We start from the raw sequence: 27,058 nt of genomic DNA on the forward strand, positions 1-27,058 counted from the left end.
CTGGCTTTCTGGGAGCCAGAAAGGGTCTGGCTTGCCACGGATTTCCTCCCGGGCGCCGGGGAGGAGCCGCGGAGCGTTAGGGTCGCCCCCTGCCCTCCTCCTGGGCCCTGCTCTCCTCCCGGCAAGGGCAGGCGAACAAAGGTGAGCGGTGGTCGGGCTCAGGACCCGCCGCATTCCGCGGGGCTCGCCCCTCTCCGCCGGCGCGCCACGCAAGGCTGCCAGGCAGGGCTTCCCGCCGGGGCCCGCGCCACCCACCTGACAGCCAGGAACGTTCCGGACGCGCGGCCCGGAGGGAGGAGGAACCGCGCACACTTCAATCTTTATGCTCCGGCACACGGATTGTAGGGGTTGTGCTTCAAAAGAATTCGCCAGGGACTTCCTGGCTTCTGGTCGCTGTTTGGTTTTTATCCGTGAAACTATCAGGCCCACAGTCCTGGCAAATAGGGGATAATAGCATTTCAGGTTATTAGCGGTTTCTTTAAAAGAGGATGTGACAGGACGGGTCCACATCCTGCAAAATGGTGATATTAAACTGATAACCCTGTCCTGTGAATAATCATAAACTTCTTTTTTGGTACTCGAAGGCACTTAAAATTTTGAGGAATTGTCATGCAATTGTATAGTTCCTCGGTTTGGTTGGATATCTCCATTGTGTCACATACAAACTTGTGTTATTCTCATGGAATTCGTTTTCGTCGCGAAACTAGATTGTGCCTGCCATGCATTCTCTGGGTGCTACTGAAAGAAAACCAGGACAGCAGCACACTTTTTTTTTCGTAACAGAAAATATTATCTTCCCCTTTCTTGTACCCTCCCCTTCCTCTGCCCAATTCATCAGTAAAGGCTGAATTTCTTAGATCACAAAGTAGAGTTTAGATTGCATTTCTCGCTTCCACTCCGCCTTTCTTCCCCGCCTTCAACTCACCTTGGTTTTGTTTCTTAAGCTTTTGCTGGTACCTCATTTGCTGTTCCTCTTTGCCTGAAAACGACTGTTGAGGGTGGCAGAACGCGTCTTTTGAGTCATTTGCTGCTGGACGAGGCAACAAAGCTTCATGGGGACAAAAAGTATCTTTTGTCTCAGGAAGGTATATTTTTCACCGGACAGTATTGTTGCTTGAAAACGAAGTCAGCTGTTCGCCTGCAGAAATTGACATGCACAAAGCAACAGACTTTAAGACCTATGTTTAAATTATTGGAATCTAATACAGATGTGTCATTGATCCTATACAAAAAAGGATCAAAAAAGTCACAGCAGTGCTGTGAAAAAATGGGTGTGTTTGCAGGTGTAGAGTTACCTCTAGAGCAAATGTTTGGTTACAGAAAATATGAACTCTATACAGTTTTGCAGGCTCTCCAAAAACAAGCAGACTCAGGGATAGCAGGTTTGCTCTATGTTGGCACATAGTAGGGGATCTACACACAATTGCTGAATTATGATAAATTGTGTCTGATAAATTCTGGCTGGGCTCACTTTTAGATAGATAATGCATTTGAAAGAGATGTGCAGTCTTATGTGTTGGAGAACAAAAGCATGATCTGTGCACAAACAGCCGAATTTTCCTGACATCCTCCTTCTCTATGCTGATTCCAGGCTGTTCACTGTGTTTAAAAAAATTAAGTTGTTAGAATGGAGATGGCTTTGTACTTAGATTGTCTCTGCCTCTAAAAAGATAAACACTAATGTGATAGTTGAAAACTGGAAGTTCATTTTTCCTCTTTCTAAACATTTTTTATTTTCTTTCTTTTTTTCCATAATCCCATGACTCGACTTAGAGTTTACATAGAGGGGTGAGCTGCTTTCAATTGTCAGTCACAGCAAATGTCCTCATATTGATATAAAGTGAGTTGGTCAGTTTCCTTCAGGCCATTGATCTAAGTAGAAGAGATTTAATGGCCTGTATGGAAAGTGAAAGTTTATGGTTAATGTTCAGAATAATAATCCAATATGGCACATATGTCACAGAATGCTACTGACTTTTGGAAGACTATCTACTTTGTTTCTTCCTATGATAGCTCTGTCTTTAACCATTCAGACCTTCTCAATTCTCTGAAAATCCACAATTTAGTTGTATCTAGAGTTAGAAGTTCTGCATGTTTCTCCTCTTCTCAAACCTAAATGACATATTCTGGGATCCAACCTGTGACCTTCATCTCAGTAGCATCCATCAAGGGCCTGAATCAATAAAACAGAACCATTCAGTATTATCACTGCTACAACTCACATTCAATGGCCTTCTAGCATTTTGTATATACATCCTTTTCTTTTGCAGTATTCTATAATGTATACGATGATTTTAAAAGCCTGTTGTGAATCCCTTTGTAGAATGAAATGCTTTTGTAATAGGAATAATTCTCTCAAGATTCTTCTCTTTGTATGCTTTGTCATTTATTTCAAAGCTGAGACCATACCTAAGAAATACCCGATTATCCAAGTCTTTATTTTACATTAAGTGAAGTCAGTAATGTCCTTGTTGAGGCTAAAATCGTGAATTTGAATGCCTTCTTCTCAGTCTTAGGTATTTCTCTCTACTAAGAGAAACATCAAAGAATTGACTGAAATGGGCTTTGCCCAGTTAAACAGTCCTTTCTTTTTATTTTCATCCCGGCTGTTGTGGTGTGGATAGTGGAGGCATTGGTAGCCAGAACATGTCACTTTATGACAGCATATGGACAGCAATATGGAAGCCCAGCATGGTTGGTAAAAAATGGGGCAGCCTAAGGTCAATGACTTTTGGCTGAGTCTGTGAAGATCTCAAAGCTTGGTGGTTTTTAGCATAGCCTTTATACCATACTTAACTCCGGGTAAGGACCAGGACCACTGTAGCGACCAATTGATTGACAGAGTAAAGTATGTGGGTTTTTTTTTTTCCCCCAACTGGGCTGATTCTCTTAGAATAAAAATTGTATACCATTATATTATGTTAACTTGATCACAAAGAACAAAATGTTATTTATTAATAATATAGCATTGTCATCTGTTTGATGAATTTTCTTGATTTAATGCTTGTTTAGATTCAGTAAGCCATTCTCAGGAACTATAATAAATGCTTCTTCCAACTTCACTTTTTCAAAAATGTGTTTTGCTGTGGTATTTATAAATGTGGAAATTGTGCTGAATCTCTTTAGAAATAAAAATTCTTTGAGTTATTGTTACAAATGTTAACTTTAATGCTGTGGATTTAGGAGAGATGCAGGAAGTATAGATCGGGAATCAGAACACTCAAATTCTAGTCAAAACTTACACTGGGGCAGCCTCCTAATTTATCTCTGTTTATTTTCTCATTTATGTGTTGAGGCAAATGGCCTTTGTAACTTATTGTTTTCACCCTCCTGATTCTTTGATTCCTGTGGATCATCTGTGCTTGAAAATTACTAATTATTATCTGATGAAACTTTGAAGCGGCTGAATGTCTTTTTTTTTTCTTTTCTTTTTTTTTGAGACATGTTCTCCCTCCATCACCCATGCTGGAGTGCAGTGGCATGATCATGGCTCACTGCAACCTCCACCTCCTGGGCTCAAGCAGTCCTCTCACCTCAGCCTCACGAGTAGCTAGGACCACAGGTGCATGCTACCAGGCCTAGCTAATTTTTTGTAATTTTTTGTAGAGATGGGGTCTCCCTGTGTTTCCCAGGCTTGTCTCAAACTCCTGAGCTCAAGTGACCCGCCCACCTTGGCCTCCCAAAGTGCTGGGATTATAGGTGTGAGCCCCTGCACCTGGTCAAGAGATTTTTTTTTTCCACAGAAATATTGTAGTCAATGGTTTTGTTTCTTGTATTTTTCAGCTGTGTTTTGAGTCAAAAGAATCATTTGGGCTGTTATCATTTATGCTCCAAAAAGCTACAGTATTTCAGAATAACCAACAAAGATTCTATAGAGAAAGCAATTGTTCCGTTTCCTTAGACCTCTTTTAGGTAGAACCCAGAGTAGGCCTGGCACCTCTTGTGATGACTGGGTAAGAATGAGAAGCTAATTCCTGCCAGATTGGCTCTCAAAATGCTAGGCTATGTGAGGAGTGTCATCCTTTGGGAGGCTGACAGCAAAGTCTGGCTTCACTCACTCAGCCCAAGAATGATCTGCTGTCCCAAACCTTCAAGAAACGACAGGGTCTCAGTTGTGTCTGAGGGAATGTCTGGCCAGCAGGCTTTTTCTTTTAGATTTATTGTCCACTAGCCTTGGGTGAGGCCTTCTAGGATAGTTGAGAGAGCGAGAGAGAGAGAGAGTGTGAGAGCGTGTTCCTGGTTGCTGGTACTTAGGGGGAAAGGAGGGGAGTGAGTGAATGACTACTAGGAAACAGTGGGGGTATCAGGTGAGGTTCATTACTGAAGGAATTTGTTCCTCAGTGTTCCTATAGTGTACCTTGTAATGAAGAGACTGATCTGATATATTTTAAAAGACTGTTTGGGAACAACTTGCATACAACCATGGTTTTCTCATGCAATCAGTGCTGGATGTTAAACCCTATAAGTGTTCCTTATTTAGCTTGTTAAGTTATATGGCAATATTCACATTAAAACTATGGATACCTGCTTTGCCAGAGACTAGTGTGTGAGGCAAGAGTGGGCTTCAGGCCGGGTGCAGTGGCTTATGTGGGAGGATCACATGGGCCCAGGGAGGCTGAGGCTGCAGTGAGCTGTGATTGCGCTACTACACTCTAGCCTGGGCAACAGAGTGAGACCCTGTCTCAAAAAAAAAAAAAAAAAAAAAAGTGGTCTGCAGACATAAATAGCTTCTCATAGTTTCTGAATGACAGTGGATGTTTTGTTGGAGAACAACCTAAAATCAGAGGGTTGGCATTCTTTGCAGAACTTAGTACAGTTTTCTCATCTAGTAAAATAAAAAGTTTTGAATTTACACAGTGAAGTAGTTTGGCTATTTGTTATAGGTTAATTTATGGGTAAAAGGCATAACATTACTGTTAAGGGGCAGTGCCTTAGAATGGTGGAGGAGGTAGGTGAGATAACTTTAAATTATCACCATGATGTAATGTCATCTAGGATTATGAAATTAATACCCTGAGTTCACTTATGACTTCTCTGTTGAAAATATTTGAATTCTCTATGGACAGGGCTAGTTTTCTCTTGGATTCCTGGTTGTAAAGTGTTTCAGAAGTGGTTGCTCTTCTGTGATGGGGAAGGACAGGTGGCAGCAGAGGGAAAATGGGATTTCAGGTGAGTTTCCTCCATCAGCATACCAGTTCCATGGCTTTGTCAGACATTGCTGCACCATCCTCAGGCTGCCCTCTTGTATTTTACTAACTTGATTAAACCTTGTTGGTGAACACTAGAACCTAGGCCCATGTTGTATATTAAAAGTTTCAAATGTTATTGCATACACTTACATTTCTTCCTCTTACCACCAGGTGAAACCAGATTTTTTATTTATTTCTTACATAGTCGGGACTTTCAAAATTTTATTATTTTTTTTCCTTGCTCATCTTCTTTTGATTAATTTCTTAAACACTTTTGAATCAGAATACTGGAGTTCCAGATTGTATGTCTAGTTGTGTCACTTAATTTTTCTTAGGAACCATTTTTTCATTTCGTTTTTTTTAAAGGTAAACAGGATTGCCTCGTATAGCACAGTGATCCTTTCATATTAGCAATGCCTTGAGAATCTTTATTCTTAGGATTTTATTCTTTGGTTTCTTCCCCCTGGCCACCTTTTAAAAATGATTTCATAAGTTTTTTTTGGTCTCTCTTTCCTGACACCATAATCTTTATTGACATCTATACTGTAGCATGATTGAACACAAAAGGATGATTCTTTTATTTATTTACTTGTTTTTTGGGACAGGGCTTCACTCCGTTGTCCAGGCTTGAGTGCAGTGCCATAACCTTAGCTCACTACAGCCTTGAGGCTCAAACAACCCTCCTACCTCATCCTCCCAGTAGCTAGGACTACAGGTGGGTGCCACCATGCCTGGCTAATTTTTAATTTTTTTTTGGTAGAGATGGGGTCTTGCTTTGTTGTCCAGGCTAGTCTCCTGGCCTCAAGTGATCCTCCCATTTCGACCTCCCAAAGCACTGGGATTACATGTGTGAGTCACTGCAGCTGGTCAGGGTGATTCTTGCAATGTCTTTTTGGGGTTTCTTGTTACTAATGCTGTGGATGATTGGATGCATGGTCTGAAGCTATGACTTGGTGCTTACCATTTATTTTGTTTGATGTTTGACTATTTTGAATGACTGCCATTTTTAATGAACAACTTTTAAAATTTTGAAAACAATAGTAACAACTAATATTTATTCCTTAATGAGTTTTTTACTTTACGTGGTTACTTTATTTAATCCTCTGTCAGGCCCTGTAAGGTGGATACTAATTTTTCCCCATTTTATGGATGAAATTTAGGATTGAGAATTTAGGAAATACACTTAACTTTATATAACTTAAAATAGCAGTGTAGGAATTTGGAACTAGGTTTCTTGATCTAACAATTTTGGTGTCTCCTATTTTAAAGTAAATATCATTCAATCATACTGTATATATATGGTTTTATATTTAGCCTTTTGCCATTTAATGATATAATCTGAATACTTTCCATGTAATTGAACTTATTCAAAAATATTTTTAATGACTATAAGCTATTCTACACTGTGGTTATACCATAATTTACTTAACCAGTGTTCATGTTTTTGTTCGATATTTAGGCCATTTCCAGTTTATATAAGTCTTTTAATTCTTGATGATTTCCTAAGGAATGTTTCCTAGAGGTGGCATTTCTGAGCCCAAAAGGATAAATGTTTTAGTGTTCTTGATGGATACAAATTGCCAAATTGTTGTCCAGAAAGATTATACCCATTCGTATTTCCTTATCAGAATATAGATTATTATCATTGGAAAAAATCTGGAGGCTGAGCACAGTGGCTCATGCCTGTAATCCCAGCACTTTGGGAGGCTGAGGAGGTTGGATTGCTTGAGCCCAGGAATTTGAGACCAGCTGCGGCAACATGGCAAAACCCCGTCTTTACAAAAAAATACAAAAATTAACTAGGTGTGGTGTTGCTCACCTGTAGTCCTAGCTACCTGGGAGGCTGAGGTGGGAGGATCACTCGAGCTTGGGAAGTGGAGGTTGTAGTGAGCTGAGATCACGCCACTGCACTCCAATCTGGGCGCCAGACCAAGATCCTGTCTCAAAACAAAAAAATTTTTTGCTTTGAATTGAAAGAAATGTTACTGTTATAATGTGTGTTCTTATATTGCTTATGATAAACTTATTTCAGATATTAATAATTGGTATTTAATTTTCTGTGAATTCAGGTATATTTTCATATGGGGATGAGGAGATGTAGTTTTTATCTTTTTTCTGTAAGAAATTGGTGGCCTTCAGGTTTTTTCTTACTTCTTAATGTGGAGTGGTCTTATCGTGGTCTTTTTCTCTGGTCACATATTTATACTTTTTGTGTGTGTGTGTGTGTGTGTGTGTGTGTGTGTGTGTGACAAGGGTCTCACTCTGTTCCCCAGGCTGGAGTGCAGTGGTGTGATCTCAGCTACTGCAACCTCTGACTCCCAGGTTCAAGTGATTCTCATGCCTCAGCCCCCCAAGTAGCTGGGATTATGTATTTTTAATAGAGATGGGGTTTCACCATGTTGGCCGGGCTAGTTTCGAACTCTTGATCTCAAGTGACCTGCTCGCCTTGGCCTCCCAAAGTGCTGGGATTAGAGGCATAAGCCACCGCACCTGGCCTTATACTCTTTTATTTATTTCTTCCTCCCGACTCTTCCCCACATGCTAAGTCACTATCATCAGGAAGGGAGCTTCTCAGATTTTAAATAGTGGAAGGAATACACTCAAGAGGATGATGAAGTAACTGATATTAACACTTTATTATGGAGAGTGAGGCAGAGAGAAAGGGCTGGGAGGAAGACTGAGGCATCAAGATTGAATGGGTCTTTATGAGGGAAAGAGGGATAGAGCCTAAATTAAAAAAAAAAAAAACTACTCTACTCCTGTAATGGATTATCTAAATTCTGGGTGAGTGAGACCCCATGTCAAAAAAACCAAACAAACAAAAAAAGACTTATTATTAGACTAATCACTAGGGAACTACAAATCAAAACCACTATGAGATACGCATTAGGATGGCTGCTATCAAAACAAAGAAACAAACAGAATAACACGTGTTGGCTAGGGTGAGGACAAATTGGATCTGTTGTGCACTGTTGGTGGGAATGTAAAATGGTGCAACTGCTATGGAGGTTCCTCGAAAAATTAAAAATAGAATTGCCATATGATACAGCAATTTTACCTCTAGGGGTGTACACCCAAAAGATTTGAAGTCAGGGTCTCAGAGATATATTTGTACACCCATGTTCATCATTCACAATAGCCAAAAGGTGGGAGCAACCAAAGTGTCTATTGATATGTGAACAGCTAAACAAAATGTGGCATATACATATGTCTCCATTTGTTTGGGCTGGTACAACAAAATACTGTAGACTGGATAATTCATAAGCAAGAGAAATTTATTGCTCACAGTTTTGGAGGCTGGAGAGTCCAAGATCAAGGTGTGAACAGATTTACTATCTGGTTAGGGCCCACTTTCTGGGTCACAGATGGCACTTTCTTACTGTATTCTCACATCACGGAAGGGGCGAGGTGGCTCTGGGGCCACTTCACTAAGGTCACTAATCCTATTCATGAGGGTTCAACCCTTGTGACCTAATCACCTCCCACAGGCCCCACCTCCTAACACCATCACACTTAGTTATTAGGTTTCAACGTGAATTTTGGGGGGACACAAACATTCAGACCATAGCAACATACAATAGAATATTATTCATCTTTTAAAAGGAAGGAATTTCTGCTACAGCATGAATGAGCTTTGAAGACATGCTTAGTGAAATAAGACAGTCACAAAAAGACAAATACTGTAGGATCCTACTTATATAAGGTACCTAGAGTAGTCAGATTCATAGACACAGGTAGTGGAGTGATGACTGCAAGGTGCTGGAGGTTGGTGCAGAGTTTCAGTTTTGCAAGATGGAAAGAGTCCTGCATGGTGGTCTTGGTTGCACAACAATGTGAATGTACTTAATGACATAGAACAGTGCACTTAACAATGGTTATGATGGTAAGTGTTATGCTATGTGTATTTTACCACAATTAAAAAAAATAGAAGATTTGCTGACTTGAAAGGTCACTAGAAATTACTGCCTTCATTTTCTTGGCTTGACATTTTTCTAGTTAGGAACAAACATCCCAGTTCTGTTTATCTCAGTTTCATCAAGCACTGCTTTTTTTTTTTTTTAACTGCTTAATTCCCCTCAAATCTAGGAGAGCGCCTCTTCTTTCCAGAATCGTCTGGCATAGGTGGGTGGGAGGTGAGGGGTGATAGAAGGAAGGTTTTTAAACCCAGAGAGCTCTTAAGTATCCCGTTTTTTTAGAAGGCACTTGAACTGAGCATATCATTTCAAGTCCATTTGTTAATATGACAACTTAATAATAGTAAACTGGCTGCATGTGTAGAAGAGGAGAGCAAAGTGTCTGTAGAAAAGCACATTGCATAGTTTCGGAGGAGTCTAGGATTAAAGTCAAGTCACCCTGGTAAGTACACAATCCATTTAAAGCAAACCAGGATAATGAGATAAAACTCTCCTTAGCAGCCTAGGCCACAGGTATATCCTATGGAAGCTCTGGGTGAGTGAAGATCAGATTTCATCTTCCTCCCTAGCTTTCAGTTTAATTTTCCATGCATTTTACAAGCAAATGATTCAAACACTTGAGTATTTAAAGATGATTTTTCTCAAATGCTGCATATTATAAAAACAATCTGATTAGAAGCAGTCAGGTACATATTATTCAACAGTAGTTTTTGAAGTTTAATGTTTGGTCATTGTACAAAATACTGTTTTCCGTAATTCATCTGTAAGAATGTTTTGGGCAGTGCTGTTTTTCTTCTTTCTTCTTTTAAAGAAGAACTTCCTTTTTCTCTCTACTGGTCTTCAAAGTGGGCTTCTCTTGGACCACTCCTGCCTTCTATTCCTACTTTTGCTTTTACTATTATAACTTAGAATTCGGTTGTGGGGCTTGTTTTTGACAAGGCTGAGGTTAGAGATACACAAATGGTTTTTAATTGCAGGAGAGATGCATTCCTTCACTAGGTAACCTTTTGCACACAGTGACCTAAGAATAACATTTGTTTGTAACTCGCCATTGTCTACATAAATGTCACATCTTATCTTTGAGGTTTTCAGGTTACAAAGCTACTGTTGCTCTCCTGAAGCTGTGATTAAGATTGTATTTTCTTTCTTTCCTTTCCTCGATTCCTCCCCCACCTTCCTTCCCTCTCTTCTTCCTTTGTCACTTCCTCCTTTCTTATTATTACTGATACAGACCCTTTCTTAAAGACACGGGGAAGTCTTTGAGAGAAGAGGAGCAGCATAGAGTTAAGAGTGGGGGAGGGTGTTTAGAAAACCATCTAAAATCTTGTCCAGGGACACAGTTTGGCAAGTATCAGAGTAAAAGCTGCCAGCTAGTCTAAGTGGCTCTGTAGATCTTGTTTTAATAGCTCACCATTTCAAAGCAGAATAAAGTGACTTGGTGGTTTAAGCAGTGGCAGTTTTGCACACAATAGCTTGAGTGAAGAAAAACTGAGAATGAAGCAATCAGTCATTTGGGCATTATGGAAAATGGGAGACTAAAAGGGCTTTGTATGTCAGTGGGTGTGTGTACATCTTTGCATGGATAGACTTGATAACAGTATATTTAAATTGTGTTGCTCTTTTGTATATCTATTGCAATTAATAGACATGTATATTTATTTCTAGCTAGAATTGAAAGGAAAATGGGTGGGATATCAGAAAGATTACAGAATTCAGGTTTAAATTCAAACAGTGCTGTTTATCACCTGTGCAGTAATAGACAACATATTCTCTCAAATTTGGTGTCCTCTCTTGTAAAATGGAGAATATGCCACTTTGCAGTATTGAGCACTCTCTGCAAAAATGTACATAAGGGGATTCAATGAAACCTGGTTCGTAAAAATACACGTTGTGTAGAAAATAATTGATACCAGAGTACAGTATTGAGTACCTGCTTGAGAAATACTGTTCTGTAATTTGATTTTCTAAAATAAAATAAATGGGTATATGTGTGGGGGGGCCCAAGGACATGGGGTCATGGTACAACTTGTGGAAGCAGTAGGGCCTGTTTACATAGTTGATGCTGGACCTGGAGGATTTACTTGTTCTATTGAAGAGTAAATATTTAGAGTTTTAGACAGGCCCTGAAACCCCAATCTTTTCAGCATTGTGCCAGTTTAGGGAGGGAGGATGCTTTTAAGCCTTTTCTTCTCAACAGTTAATGATGTGGGTTGTATACTGGGGACCTGTGGAAAACCATTTCTAATGGTGGAGTGTTAAACAAGTGGGGGGCCGCTGTGTGCCACTGAGAGCCTGGCCTCTGCTCTGGCTTCTGTGCCTTTGGAGAGAGACCCCCATCCCCAAAGATGGTCTCCCTCTGGGTGGAGTTTTCTCTGGAAGCTGCCTTTCAGTGATATGCAGATATCTCCACCTACTTCCCCTGGTCTAGCCCCAGTGATAGTTGTTTATTGCACGCAGTCTCAAGGGAAAATTGATTGGGTATTTGACCACTGGTAAGGGCACACATCAAGTTTGGCATTTATATTGACTTAAGACCTGGGCTGTGTTTTGGCCCTGCCACTTGCTAGCTACTGGTCTAGGGGCAAATTACTTAACCTCTGCAAGCTCAGTTTTCATGTGAAACTCATAGGGTTGCTGTGAGGATTAAATGAGATAATATTTGCATTGTGTTTAGGGCAATGCCTAGCTCAGTGAAATAGTGATTACTTGTTCTTCAGGTTTATTCACACACACAATCACTTTCTGAGTGTTTGTTGAAACTCTTATTTTCAGAAATGGGACTTCACTGGCCTTACCTTTACATCATAGACATTTACCATAGACCTCTTTCCTGCATAGATCCCCATTTTCCCTAGTTAGGGCTGTCTGTGTACAGAGTTTTACTTTCCCTATTCTCTTTTCCCTTCTCTCTCTTTTTTTCCTCTGAGGAAGATGTTGATTCTTCTTCTTGTAGCTGGCAGAAAACACCCCTAGCAGCTTAGTGAGGAATGGGGCTTTGTCCACTTCACACTCATGTAATCACTTTGCTGAGGGTGTACATTAATATTTAGACAGCTCAGAAACATTTTTCCTAATAAGAGCCTCCCAGAAATAGGACAGCCTCAAGACAGACATTTATTGATTTCTTTCAGAATTTTAAGCCTAGTGGATTATCTTAATTTGATCCTTAAGAAAAAAGAAATTCAGTCTAGTGACATTGGGATCACATTTATGAAAATGGAAACATTCAAAATTAGCTGAAAATAATATATGTATGTATTTTTTTTCTTTAAGAGAAATAAACCTGCACCCCCAAATTGGAACTTCCATTGGTGTGAATGTGACGAACCTAGGCTGACTAAATTAATTCAGAAGGAATTTGCACCTGCTTTCAACTATAGGCACTTTTCCAGCTCTGCATAGTTTAAATATAATTTGTAAGTAGTTAGCCATGTAAATAATTTAACAAACCTGCTCATTTCTTAAGGCTTTGTTAGAGACATCTTAGGGTGATGAAAGGGGACATTTGTGGTGGGTTGTCTATTAAATGAGGAAGTAAGGCAAAGATGAAACCACAATGCTGTATAACGACAAATTACCAAAAATTGCCCCTGTTTTAATTCAGTCATCATTTAGGGTCATAGACTTTCTACTGAAAATGGAAATTGAAACTTAGTGATTCAGAGATCTACAAGTCCACTGTGGGTCAGACAACAGTGGTGTCCTGAAGTGGGGAATGGTGGGAGTGATCTGCTTTGGGTACACGCAGTAAGGTGATGTATTAGCTGTAGAGAATTAAAAAAAATTGGTTAAAAGTTAGTCTTTTATTGGCACCATGTGAAGCCAGTTATTAACACAGAATTGATAGAAGTGATAAAATACTCCTCCCTACCAGGGTACACTGTTCCTACCCACCCCCACAACTGCAATACCACTGTCAGACACTGTTTCATGGCACAGGTGACCAGAAGACCACACTTTGAGAAATACTGGCAGAGATAAAAATACTACTCCACCTCCCACTTTGGATATGAAGATACGCAGCCTAAAGAGATGAATGAAGTGACTTGTGCTCTGCCACTCACTCAGGTCCTGGCAGAGCCTGGCTGACCTGGAACCCTAGCAGTGCCATTATAGAGTAACCATTTCATCCTGATTTGAGATTGTCTCAGGAAATGCCATTTCAGGGAAAATTGAAACAGCTGGTCACTCTACCTGACTGCTCAGCCTATTAAACCCATCCTGAGGTCAGGACAGTAACTCATGCCTGTAATCTCAGCACTTTGGGAGGACTGCTTGAGCCTGGGAGTTTGAGACCAACCTGAGCAACCTAGTGAGACCCTGCCAACTCTACCAAAAAAAAAAAAAAAAAAAAATTAGCTGGGCGTGGTGGTATGCACCTGGAGCCCCAGCTACCCCAGAGGCTGAGATGGGAGGATCGCTTGAGCTCAGGAGGTCCAGGCTGCAATGAACTATGATTGCACCATAAGAAATGGCTTCTCTGTCTCGCCCTAAGGGTGACTTAGAGTGTTTGTGGGAAGAAGCTTCCTTGGTGACTGAGGGGTGTTGCCTGCCCCCACTGTCCCTGTGCCACATTTCATGGCTTTTTAAAAAGGTGATTAAAAGGCTCCCCATTAAGTGTGGGTTGGAGCTTCTGAGGGCAGAACTGTGTCTGTAGATAGCCAGGGTCAGTTCCTGGTGTGCTAATTCATCCTTAGCATGCCTGTGTTACTGAGACCATAAACTTTTTTGTTTTCCTTCTGCCTTCACCCAGTGTGTGTTAAGTCTTGCTTGTTAAGCTCCCACACTTAAATGGCTGCTTGCAGAATTGCAAAGGGACTAGGGAGAGAACAAAAACAGATATGCAGGTGGTGGTTGTTAACCAGACAGGATTTCTAAGGAGGGTTCAGGCAGTCAAGTGGTTTTGTGTATGTGTTTTATGTTCATAGTTTTGAGTTTTACAATGTGTGAAGCTTACTTTTGCTAGCATTAGGTATAGTTTATTTGAAAGAATGAGGCTCCTGAAATAAACATGCCAGTAAACTATATCTTAGAGTTTAATGAGAACAGTGCTAGGAAATTCCAGCTCCTCCCAAGGCTGCCTCGCTCAGAGGCAGGCGTTAGCTGTGGGTCTCTAAGCTTTAAACAGGCTTACCAGTGTCAATACTTGTGATGTCCCTGCCCCAGGCTGTCCACACCTGGTTAGTGTCAAGCCATCTAAGATTGGGCAGAAGGCAAGTAAACCAATTTAGGACCATGGCTTACCGCTTATTTGACTGCTGAATCCTATTTGCCTAGTGCTTTCACATCTTCTTACCTTCCCCTCTTTGCCAGAACCTACTCTGTCTTAAAAATGTCCTGGGTAAAAGGAATCTCCTCATTGGGAAGGGGATCCCTTTTACCTTTTGGCCCTGAGCCCTGGTTACCAGATGGTCTGTTGTTCTCACATTTCCCAGGGTAATAATGAATTTGGGGCAAATCCACTTGCATATATAATAAGAGCTTTCACCTCAACTTTTGCTACACTTTCAATGTTATTTATTACATACTACTTTTTAGTTTTTTGGCATTTAAAAACTATGTAATAGCATAAAATAAATGTTCTTTCTGTTCTCAAAGATAACGTCATGGTTTTAGGCTGTTTTTCTGATTTCTAAAAAGGAAATAAATTTGAGTTATTTGGTTCCACAATTTAAAACAACTGTTTATTTTTTGGTAAGCTGTTTCCCCCTTTTTCAGAGTTAAAGATGAGACAAAAATACTGCATTTAAAGCAGAACCAGACCTGGGTAGCCGCTCTCTCCGTCAATCGCCATTCCACTTGCCAGCCAATAACTAATTCTTTATTCAGGGGTCAAATATAAGGAATTTCTTTCCTTTCAGATTGTCTAAAGCTTTTCTAAATTGAATGCGCTTAGCTGCTAGAAACTTCCACCTTACTTTAAAAGCCAATCTAAGAGTCCGGCTGCTGCTCTGAATGAGAACTGCCAAAGTAAGTAAATAGTATATGATTATATATTTTGGGTGTTGAGAAGAGGTTACACTTATCTTTGCAGGTAAAGTTGAACATAGTCTTTTTGTTTCTGAGGCCCAGTTCGAATCTGTGGAGAGAGGGAGAGATGTAGATGAGAGTGTGAGTGCAGACGCTGATTGACCCATGTGTGCACAATGAAAGGGAGCATAGATTCCTGAGTTGGGCTTAAAATTCCATCTTGGAGAAACGCTGATTCAGTCACCATTATACCCTAGTGGGTATTAGCTCTAAACCCCAGCACTCAAACTTGCTTAGCAAATGTTCATATGGCATTGTTAGAAAAATGCTATTTTTTTCTAAAGCAGACTTTTTATTCTCCCTGTATAGCATTCATACTGAAACACGCATAAAAGTATACCTTCTTGTACAGCTCATTGAATTATCACAGCAAAGTGAATACACCATGTGTTCATTAATCAGAACAGAGATCAAGGATCAGAACATTACTGGTACCCCAGAAGCTTTAAAAACCGTTTGCAGTATGAAGAGGAAAGGCCTAATTTATGCAGCAAAACTCACTATTCCACTTAAGGAATAGTAGGTTCCTTATAGAGGACGACAGAAGCTCTGGTACTTGTCATTACCAATAGAACCTTCTTTCTTTGTGTTAAGTCTGTGCTCATGCTTAGATATGTGTGTGTGTGTTTATGTACAAAATCTGATTGGTATTTGGCCATCGAATTTAATAAAGAAATTACTGAAAAAGGAATGGGAAGAGGATGTCAGAATGTGAGAAAGTAAGAGAAAGGCCATAGTCAGAACATCCATTTTCTTTTCCACCTTATTTGATTAATATACTGTTTTATAAGGATAGGCGCTAGTAAAGAGACAAAAATACAGTATCTTTACATCTTTTTCTTTTTAAAAGATAAACAGATTAAGGATGTTAAATAGGATAGGTGTATAAGTTTGTTGACAAACTGGATCTTGTTCCTTGAATATAGATGGTCTCACTCAATTTGTCATTTGAGACAATGGAAACAAAGGTATCCGATACTTTGGATTTGAAAAAACCAGATATTTTGAACACAAAATATTGGTTTGTGACATTGGAATACTTTGTTTTGCAAATAATGTCTTTAAAACTTGCAGTGCTTGCATTTGAAACATTATGCTCACCTTAAAAACGTATCTTTTCATCTCAATTTTTCTTATTTAAGCTTTTTGTTCTGTCTTTGGATCTATCTTTTGTTCCTTTTATCCTTCTCTTCTTCAGGAATATCAGTTATACATATGTTAGATTTCCTTTGTCTGCCTTTCATGTCTATCATCTTGTCTATAATCATTTTAATATTATTAGTTTTTTCCATGTGGTTTTATTAATTTTTTTCACACCTGCCTACCATGTATCTTTTCACTCATGTTTGTTTAAGTTTTTTCTTTTGTTCTTAATGTTTCTGTAATCTTAAAAAAATTTACCCTTTTATTGTGCTGCTATCTCTGTTTGCATTTTTTTCAGTTTTATAATCACTTTACTAAGTCCTAGTATCTCTACAAAAAGGGCACAACAACATTCTTCCAAATTATTCATGTTTAAGATGATTGTTTTTTCAGGCTACTTTTAAATGGAAATTCTGAATTCTTTTCGGTTTTCCTAGAAATGTAATGACACAATATATAATAAATCTTAGTGCATTATTGTGTCAGCAGTAACCGTTTGTTAGTTTCTAGGGCATTAATTTTAATTTGTGGATTAAAAAATGTTTCATTATCTAACATTAATGCTACAAAATTGTGTTTGAAATATTTAGAATATGATACCTCTTGATTTAACAGTTATTTTAAAAATTACTAATGATATGTCTATAGTCTCATTAGGAAACTCCCCATACACGAAAAAAATAAAAAAATAAAAAAACACACAGCCAGTTCTCCATTTTCACTGTTTCTTCTATCTCACTTTCTTCCCTGATGTGTCCAGTATTAGTAGTTGATATACATGTCCTTTTGGACCTTTTTCAATGATTTGTCTACATATGTATGTATATGGAAAGATAAAGTTTGTTTAAAACATGAATGATGCCAGGTGTGGTGGCACGCACCTGTAGTCCCAGCTACTCAAGAGGCTGAGGCAGGAGGACTGTTTGAGGCTAGGAGTTGAAAGCTGCAGTGAGCTATGATTGCACCTGTGAATCTGTACTCCAGCTTGATCAACACAGCAAGATCATGTCTCTCAAAAAAACAAAAGAAAATATGAATGGTATATTCTGAGTCTTGCTCTGAAACTTATTTGTCTTTTTTCCACGTAAGGCCATGTCTTGGGGATTTTCCAATGTTGGTGAATGTAGAGCCATTTTCTTTTTAATGTGATGGCACAGCATCCCGTTATGTGGGTGTTTCCTAGTTGATTTAACGGCTTTTCCATAAATGCTATAGGAAACAATGCAGTAACTTCATTCCTATACAGACTTCTTTGCATTTAGGTGTTTTTGCATTTAGGTGTTTTTCCCTAAACTGACATAAAGAAGTAGAATTGCTGGATCAGAGAATGTGCAGAGTTAAAATTTTGATAAATGCATTGAAAACCTTTCAAGAAAAATTATACCAATTGACATCCCTACCAACGCAGTATGAGGAAATGCATTCCTCGTGTCCTCCCAACCATGACTTATCCTGCAGCAAATAGAATGTAATTTTGGTAAACTTAATCTATAAAGAAAACAACTATTTTAACATGATGACTTTTCCAAAGAACAGAAGGTTGGGATGCTGGTTAGGAAGGAAATTTAATAATACCATAACAAGACATTTTGCCACTCTTTCTTTAAAGAAATGGGAATGATAATCATAAAATACAGTGAGAAATTCAAGTTTATACTTTGAACTTTGCAACATCTATTGCAAACATTTATTTAACAAACATATTTCACCCTTCCCAACTCATTGCCTTAGGGTTACTTAGCTAACAGGAATGGTGAGTGTTGTGTTATATTCCTTTACAACAAATAAAAGTCAACCATAAGTTACCTTGAACAAGAAATCAGTAATGAAGAATATCTGTCCTTGTATGGGGCTTCCTAATAATTTATTATCAGAAGAATTACCTTATGATTAAGCTATTCTGATGGTAGAAACATTTTCATTCAGCATGTAAACAAGCAACAAGTAACCAAGATTCAGCAACAACTATGAACTGAGAACTCAAAAAGACTTTAAATCTAGAACTACGTTGTTCTTCAGTACAGTTGATTGCCTGTCCCACCCTACCTTTTAGTCATCATATTATCTCATCGTGCTTGTCTACTTGGGAAAAGTTATTTTTTTATACCAATAGGATGGCATGTATTAACATTTTTTGACTTTTATGAAAATGTTCAAATATAGAGAAAAGCTAAAAAAAAGTGCCACGAACACTCATATTCTTGCCACCAGAATTCAATGATTATTAACATTTTATCATATTTTTTCTGTAGCATGCAAAGTAAATCGCAGCTATTATGACGCATCACCAATGAGTAGTTGAGCACGGATCTTTAAAAAGCCATCCTAGACTGTCTCTAAGAATAAAGACATTCTAGGATGGCTTTTTAAAAGTAACTTTTTGAAAAGCAATTTTATATCGTGGGATTTATTTTTTCTCATAAAAATGTACAGCTTCAAAGTGGTAGAGAACTTACTGCGTATGGATTTGGTGAAATGACAGGGTAGAATCAATGATTAAATTTAATGGATGTATAAACAATAAGGCTAGCAGTAATAGTTTAGTGAAAAAGGAGTGATTATATATAATATTTTTATTGGTATTTTATGGAAATTGTATCCAAGGGTTTGAATTGGGAAACCGTTAAGTTTACTAGAAGTAGCTAGTTTCTTAATAATATTTCTTGGTTTTAGAAAATTGATATAAAGCACATTGGCTCATAGGTCAGGCTGTTAGGCTTAGTTACAGCAGGCAAACTTTCTCAAGATTATTGGCTCCTGCCCCAGTGTGGTAGTGTTTGTGTTCTGTGGGTCGTGTTTGGTCTTGCAACATGGTGGCTTCAAGGCTTAGAATCAGACATTTGTTAATGTCGAATACAACTACCCTCTCACATGCAAGTCCGGGCTCACTGTTTTTGTTAGCTAGGTAAGCCTAAGGCACTAAGTTGGAAAAGGTTCAAATATATGACATATGTTTATGAAATAAATGATCACAATAGATGAAGGGTTCAAAATTACAAACTAAAATAAACTTGTGTATTATTACTATTGTTTCTCTTTCTGAGGTACAGAGAAAGAGTTGCAAAAGAGGTTAGCCTATCTTCTCAAACCAGTTGTTGGACAGAACAAGGAATGGCAGCTTCCAGCCAGTACATTAATTATGCTCCTCTCTGGCATCCTCTTTTTTTTTTTTAATCACCCTTTTATCACCTTGCTCTGTGTAATTCTTTGAGAAGGAAGCTAATAAAGAAAAAAAAATCAATGCATGCATATTGTAAAAAAGTATCAAACAATAAAATAGGGTATACCATGAAAGATAAAACTCTCTCCTCAGAGACAACCATTTGCAACTGCCTTCTGGAATATTTTCTATGCATGTTCAAGTATATATGTCTTAGGGTTGTGTCTTAGGGTTCTCCAGAGAAAACCAATAGGATGGATGGATAGATAGATGATAGATAGATAAATATGTTAGATAGATTAGATAGGAGATTTATTAGAGGAATTGGCTCACATGATCTTGGTGGCTGAGACGTCCTGCAATAGGCTGTCTGTAAGCTGGAGTCCCTGCAGCATCAGTACCTTGGCTCAGTCTAAGTGAAAAGGCCTGAGAACGTAGTAGGGACTGCTTTTGTAAGTCCTGGAGTCCCAAGGCTGGAGAGCCTGGGGTCCTGATGTCCAGAGGCGGGAGGAGAAGAGTGTGTGCTAGCTCCAGGAGAGACAGGAAATCCTTTTCCTCTGTTTTTTTTCTATCCAAGACCCCAGGCAATTGGATAGTGTCTGCCCATATTGAGGGCAGATCTTCCCCATTTAATTTGCTCAGAGTCACATACTAATCTCCTCTGGAAACACAGTCATATACATACCCCAAAATAATGCTTTACCAGTTCTCTAGGTATGCCTTAATCCAGTGAAGTTGACACCCAAAATTAACCATCACAGGTTGCTATGACAAAATACCATAGACTGGTGGCGTAAACAACAGAAATTTATTTTTCATGGTTCTGGAGACAAGCCTAAGATCAAGGCACCAGCAGATGCAGTGTCTGGTGAGGCACCTCTTCCTGGTTTGCAGAGGCTCTTTGTCTTTTTTTTTGTATACTCACATGGTAGAGTGAGGGAGGAAAGGAATGAGGGAGAGACAGAGAGAGAGAGAGAGAGAGAGAGAGAGAGAGAGAGAGAGAGAGAGTCTCATAGGGCACTAATTCCATTCATGGTTGGTTCCACCCTTGTAATTGCTTCTCAAGGCCCTACACCCTAGTTCCATCACACTGGGGTTGTAGGCCTCAACATGCAAGTTTGGGGGGACATAAACATTCAGTCCATAGCCATGTGTCTCTACATTTTATTTAACACAACTATATAAGCTCATTTGCACTTTGTTTTTCACTTACTATATCTTGAACATCTTTTTATGGAAATATTGAAAAGTCAACTTTTTTCTAGTAAATGGTTGTGCAGAATTTTTAACATTTTATATAGCATATAAAATGCATATATTTATCATAATTTAACCACTCCCCTATCAGTGCTTCTTGAGATCATTTCCAATCATATGCTATTAAAAGCAATGTCACAGTGGCAACTTTTGTACGTCTTTCTTTCTTTCCATGTGAATTACCTTAAATTTCTATTAGTGTGAAGTGGCTGGGTCTGTTTGAATTTTGATAGATATTGGAGAATTGTCCCCTTAGGGGATTGTACGTGTTTATATATTTCTGCTCACTGAAGGAAAGTTTCTAACAGTATGATTGAACTTGCAAACGCTTGCCAATTGACTGTGTGAAAAATGGTATTATTTTAACTTGCGCTTTTTAAAAGTGAAGTTAAGCACATTTTTATATGTTTTAAAGCCACTTGTATTTAGTTTTCCACGAATTAATGTTTTTGTCTTTTTTGGGAGTGTTTATTGTTTTATAAAGGCTTCCTATGCAAAAAGAAAGAAATATGCTCTTTTTCATGTATACTGAGAATATTTGCTTATGTGCTTTGTCTTTTGACTTCATGATATTTTTCCCTGGCTGAAGGTTTCAAGTTTTATGTAGTCTGATCATTCAGGGTTTTTTTTTTTGTTTGTTTGCTTTGTTTTGTTTTTTCCTTAGAGTACTTTCTCTTGAACTAGTCAGTTTCCCCAGAGAACAGCTTTTCTCTAGCCTGCTTGATGGTTATAAGCCTGCTGCCACTGTTCTGAGAGCTGAGCAGTGAGATGAAGATTTATCTTAATCCTGTTTTGGTCACTGTACTCAGTGTCCCAAAAGCCAGGTCCTCTGTGATTCAACCTTCCCAGGAGTAAACCACCCCTCTCTGCTGGGGCTGGGGAGAGCAGTCACCTGGTTTCGGGGACCCAATCTGGAGGTGTTCATGTTCCTTGTACAGACTTTGGACCAGTATCCTGTTCCAGCTGAACTTTACACCCTGACCTCCAGAGGTATCTGGTGCCTACAGTTGTCAAACATTTCTGGCATTCTCTAGTCTAAAGCCTCTCTACTCAAAGTGTGAACCATAGACCATCAGCCTCTGCCCCATCACCAGGGAGCTTGTTAGAAATGCAGCACTTCAGGCTCCACCCCAGATCTGTTGACTTGGAATCTGGGCATCACCAGGTGATTCTCGTGCATGTGAAAGTGTAAGACATCTTTCTTTGATTTCCATCCCTGGAGACTTTTATCACTGGAGCTGGTTAGGCTTCAGCTATCTCCACTTGGCTTAATCAGTTACCCTGGCCCTTCTGTCTTGGGTGACATCTCTTATTTGTTATCATCATCATTAGTCCTTTTAGAATTTTACCCTGTTTAATTTAATCTTTAGTGACTTAGGTCTCAAGAGGTCTTGGAGATAAAAACATTTACTTTATTTATTATGTTTAACAAAAATTCTCTCTGAATATTTCATTATGTTTTTTGTTAAATTTTTGAGCCATCTTGAATTAATTTTGGTGTGAGAGATGAGAACTTCGTTAATTTTGGTGTCAGAAATGGGAACTCCAGATTTTGTTTTCTTCCCCCAGTTGGCTGGCAAATAGTCCTAACATCATTTACTAAATAATCCATATTTTTTTCTCTGATTTGAAGTGCTACCTCGATCATATTCTAAATTTCTACCATATGATGACAATTTTAATTATTGTAACTTTATAATTTATCTTACTAGTTAGTACTAATTTCTATTCATTTTTAGAGACAGAGTTTAAAACTCTGAGTTAAAATAAATGACTTCTGTATTTCCCATTTATTTTCATCTGTATTTTTATTTATTCCATTTTATGTTTACTTGTTCAAAATGATAGGGTCATTGACATATTTTCATTTCTAACTAGATTTTTAAATATAGCAAGTAGATATGCATGTGTGTGTGTATATATAATGTTTAAATTACAGACTTTATTTTCTTTTTTCACATATGACAAATTTGAAGCCATTCCTAGGAGAATCCATTTCTTTCTATCTTTTGGGAAGGGCACAATGTAAGTACTGTTAAATGCAATAGAAAGTTTAATGCATGCTTATGGTATGGCAGGCAGGTTGAGTGTTGCGATCACTTGTGCCCAAGCCTGAGATGTTAAATACCCTTTCTTTTTTATTTTGTTTTGTTTTTTGAGACAGAGTTTTGCTCTTGTTGCCCAGGCTGGAGTGCAATGGCGCGATCTCGGCTCACTGCAACCTCCTCCTCCTGTGTTTAAGTGATTCTCCTGCCTCAGCCTCCTGAGTAGCTGGGATTACAGGCATGTGCCACCACACCCAGCTAATTTTGTATTTTCAGTAGAGACGGGGTTTCTCCATGTTGGTCAGGCTGGTCTCGAACTTCCGACCTAAGGTGATCTGCCCGCCTCGGTCTCCCAAAGTTCTGAGATTACAGGCATGAGCCACGAATCCCGGCCTTAATACCTTTTCTGGTCTTTACTAGCGTGCCTGTCCTAAGCAAAGGTCTTACATTTGAATTCTTCCACCACCATTTGTTAGAGCTGTGATGCTGGGTAAGCTAAAGAACCACTCTGATCCTGTGAAATGGTGATCATTTTTTCCTTTCAAATAGTGAGGATTGGAATTAAGGCAGTAAAGTGCTTAACTGGATCCCTGGCCCATAGTAGGTAGCAGCGACTGGGTTTTGCTTCTTTAAACTTGTGAGAGAAATGGATATGGATGAGTCTTTGAGTCCTTTAATCAGCAGGGCACTAAGTTGTTCATCTAGATATGCCAGTGGAGTAAAAGTATAGGGAGTCTTCCCCAATGTCTTTGCCTTAGCATACGTAATTGACTTTCAGTTGTCCACACAAATGGAGAGGAGAAATGGCAGAGTAAATAACAATAGATAATGTGTTAAACCTTTATATGTCTTTATATGTCTAGGAATTAATCTGACAAATACTTTTGCAGAATATAATAATAAAATTTCATAGCTGGAAGAGAACTTTGAAATTATAAAACCTCTTAATGTTAGAGATGAAAAAAACAGACCTAGAGAGTTAATGACTCATCCAAGATCATACAGTGGTGTGATCTTAGTGGCAGAGCTAGCATCAGAAACGCATATGTTAATTCCAAGTTCCGGGTTCTTTATTTACCGTTTAAGGTTATGTTTGCTTTAAGTGCATATCTAGAGCCACTAATGTGTCTGAGAACTGGCATCTGGGACCTCAGCCTAGTGTAGGAAAAAGAACATATGAGCTTGGAGGAATAGAAATGCTTTTGAACTTCTGCTGAGTTTTTTTGAAGCCAGATATTAGGGTTTGAGCCACTAAATTTAGGGTGAAAACCTAGAACTGGGGAAAGTTATGTGAAATAGAGTAGACATATATCTAAGTCAGAATAAGAGGGAAATGTTGGAACCCTCAGACAAGCCAGAGTCTGTTGAGGACATAAATTGTGGATAGAAGTCTTGAGTAGCATGGGGAGTCCATGTTAGAAAGATAGCCGGGAATTAGGGGCACGCTTCTATCATGGGCTAGAAGTCCAGGCTTACTGGTGCTATGTAGAGAAAGCATGCAGGAAATGAAACATCACTCTGAAAGTTGCTGGGCACCAACCTGGGCTTGACTCGCAGAGAGGCATCTGCAGAGGATCCTTGAGGAGCTTGTGGTTTGAAAGAGGGACAGTTGGCCAGGCTGGCCGGGCGCAGTGGCTCACGCCTGTAATCCCAACACTTTGGGAGGCTGAGGTGGGCGGATCATGAAGTCAGGAGATCGAGACCATCCTGGCTAACATGGTGTAACCCCGTCTCAACTAAAAATACAAAAAATTTGTCAGGCGTGGTGGCTGGCACCTGTAGTCCCACCTACTCTGGAGGCTGAGGCAGGAGAATGATGTGAACCTGGAGGCGGAGCTTGCAGTGAGCTGAGACTGTGCCACTGCACTCCAGCCTGGGCAACAGAGGGAGACTCCGTCTCAAAAAAAAACGGACAGTTACAGGTCATCAGCCGCAAGCTGACTTTGCAACTGAGCAACTTTTTTTTGCCTGTGCTCAGAAAGTTTCTGATTTCCTGGTCAAGTCGGATCATTTGCAGCTGATTGGGGCTTCTAGGTGTAAACACTGAATAGAGTGAATAAAGTAATTGCTGGGTAATTCCTGACCCGTCTTCATTAGCTCCAGATCTGAAGCTGGCCTTTAGAATATCATAAAGCTCTTCAATGCCCAATGTTTCTTTTGACTTTAGTATTGAGAAATAAATGCTTAATCTGTTATGTAAGTAGGAATAACGTTGAAATCATGGCTTAGCTGAAAGACCAGTTGTTTCTCCCAAATGTGGGTTTACTTATTGAGCTAAGAAATCATTCCTATGTAAATATGAACATCTATTATCCTCTTGTGTCTTGATGAATTTGAAATAGTACCAGCATGAATACATTTGATTTAGGAGTAGTTTTGGTTTAGAAGTTATTTCCCTTTAGAAAACAGCAATTTAAGCTTAGGTTGAATTTTTGAATAACTTCAGAGGAAATCTTTAAAAACATTTTTCAAAGACTTTCAACAGTTCTGTTATGGAACCCTTATAAATCCAGTAAATATGAACAATTTTGATTTGTAGAATTTGTAGTTAGAGCACAAGTGCTGAAATAAATTATGGCATTTAAACTTGAATCATAGTCTTTTAGGGAAAAAATTAAATGAGGTTTTAAATTTGGACTTGGATGAATCTTGAATGATGATGGTTAGTGGACCTTAGAAACTAAAATAGGTTTTCTTGAGTTTATCTTGATTTAATTGAAATGAATTTAAATGCATGCTAATTTCCCATTTACTAGCTGGATTAAAATCAGTTATGGTGGACTAGATCAATGGACTTGGAAGTTCGTGGAACAAAGCCACTAAAAGACAAGTGAGTGAGTCTGTGCAGTTGTTGAAGCCATTAGCTCTTGTGGGTTGTGTAGCCATAGAAGCTAAAGTAACCTCTCACCATGTGCCTCTCACCTAGTTCAGGAATGTTGGCTTCCCAGAAAATGCACAGTACAAGTTGTGCCTTCAGCTTTCTCACACAATGAGGCATATTATGAGTGGTCTTGCTTCTGTTCTGCTGTAGTGCATAATTCATGCAAAAAATTTGATTTCAACTGCGTCAGCTTCAAAGGGCTGCAATCAGGCATCTATCTGGAAGGATTTGCTAAGAGAAAAGTTTCTGTTTTCCATTTATACAACTGGGGGACTCACATTATCTTTGATTAGTGCAGTGGCACGGAGCTGAAGGCAGTTTTTCAGTTTGCAGGCTTATTTTTAAGCCTTTTGTTTTCCTTGAATTTCTAGAAGCTCTGCAGGATGAAGGCTGTGTACATTTGATAGAATTATTGGGTTTATCTTTGTAAGAGCTCATCTCTAAATCGAAATAAAAACTAAGTGTCTAATGATTGGAATAGCTGCTAATAAAATAGCCATCTCTTAAGTACTGGTGGTTTAATCTCTTGTAAATTCCATCATAGCCCAAAAGATAATGAGTTCATGTCTCTTGCATGTGATAGTCTGGACAGTATAAAAAGTCTGAAGGCAGGAGTAAAGAGAAACAGTAATAGGTTTAAAAATGCCCAGTTGATAATGGCAGTAGTGTTTTAATAGCTGTAGTGGTGGTGGTGTCAGTATCAAAGATTATGGTTAACATTTATTGTAGCTGTGCTACTGCCACTCACTATTCTTAGAGCCTTACATAGACTATCTCATTTAATCCTCACATAAAGTCTGTGAAGTAGGTACTATTTTTACTTCTTTTTTTATAGATGTGGAGATTAGGCTCATGGAGGTATAATAACTCGTCCACGATTACATAGCTATTTTTTTTTTTTCTGAAGACGCTTATAGCACTTTGCTTGGAGTGTAGAGTGGAAGCTCTGTGTGCTTATTGGTTGACTCATCTTGGACTGGATACTGGTTACTGGTTACTCAAAATTCCGAGTTTCAGCTTTCTTCTGTGCAAAATGGGAGGTTGAGGGAGGGCCAATCTCTTTCTAGAGGGAGTCTTTGAATTTTTTGTTTTTAACCGAGAAAACAGACTTGGTTCAGAGTTGGCATCAAATATGTGTCTTTTTCCTGACTTAAAGGAAGACTTGAATGTCCTGCCCTTGCATGGTAGGGAAGCAGGGATCAAGAGATGAAATACTTAACTAGCTGTTCTAATATTATGAGCACGAGGAGCTCCCTGGAGCCAGACTTCACCAAAAATTTAGTCCAGTCAACTTTGAATCCCTGGGGATTGAAGTAACGCTTCATATTCTCTCACAGTGGAATAGAATGCACCTTCTTTGTAAAAATAAATGAATAACTAGGCGTATTGGAACTTAATGAGAAAATATTTATGAACATCTCGAACAGTGGCTCTTAAAT

The 27,058-nt window shown here is 38.9% G+C and overlaps 1 protein-coding gene and 1 long non-coding RNA gene across 6 annotated transcripts in view, besides 1 other annotated feature; one reads left to right on the forward strand and one right to left on the reverse strand.

Annotated features, from left to right (window-relative positions):
* Positions 1-25,346, reverse strand: part of LOC102724081 (uncharacterized) — a 59,691-nt gene extending 34,345 nt beyond the window's left edge. For all 4 annotated transcript variants that reach the window (XR_002959433.2, XR_007087286.1, XR_007087285.1 and 1 more), the window contains exon 1: positions 256-25,346. This is a non-coding gene — a long non-coding RNA (uncharacterized LOC102724081). The remainder of the gene's footprint in view (positions 1-255) is intronic.
* Positions 1-27,058, forward strand: part of CERS6 (ceramide synthase 6) — a 318,863-nt gene that overhangs the window by 504 nt on the left and 291,301 nt on the right. The gene's annotated exons all lie outside the window — the stretch shown is intronic.
* Positions 129-188: a silencer, noted in NCBI's record as "silent region_12080". NCBI's record gives its function as "represses an Ori minimal core promoter by ATAC-STARR-seq in GM12878 lymphoblastoid cells {active_cell/tissue: GM12878}" and the evidence as "EXISTENCE:reporter gene assay evidence [ECO:0000049][PMID:35858748]".

The sequence above is a fragment of the Homo sapiens genome, chromosome 2, assembly GCF_000001405.40.
Source record: "Homo sapiens chromosome 2, GRCh38.p14 Primary Assembly".
Lineage (NCBI taxonomy): Eukaryota > Metazoa > Chordata > Mammalia > Primates > Hominidae > Homo > Homo sapiens.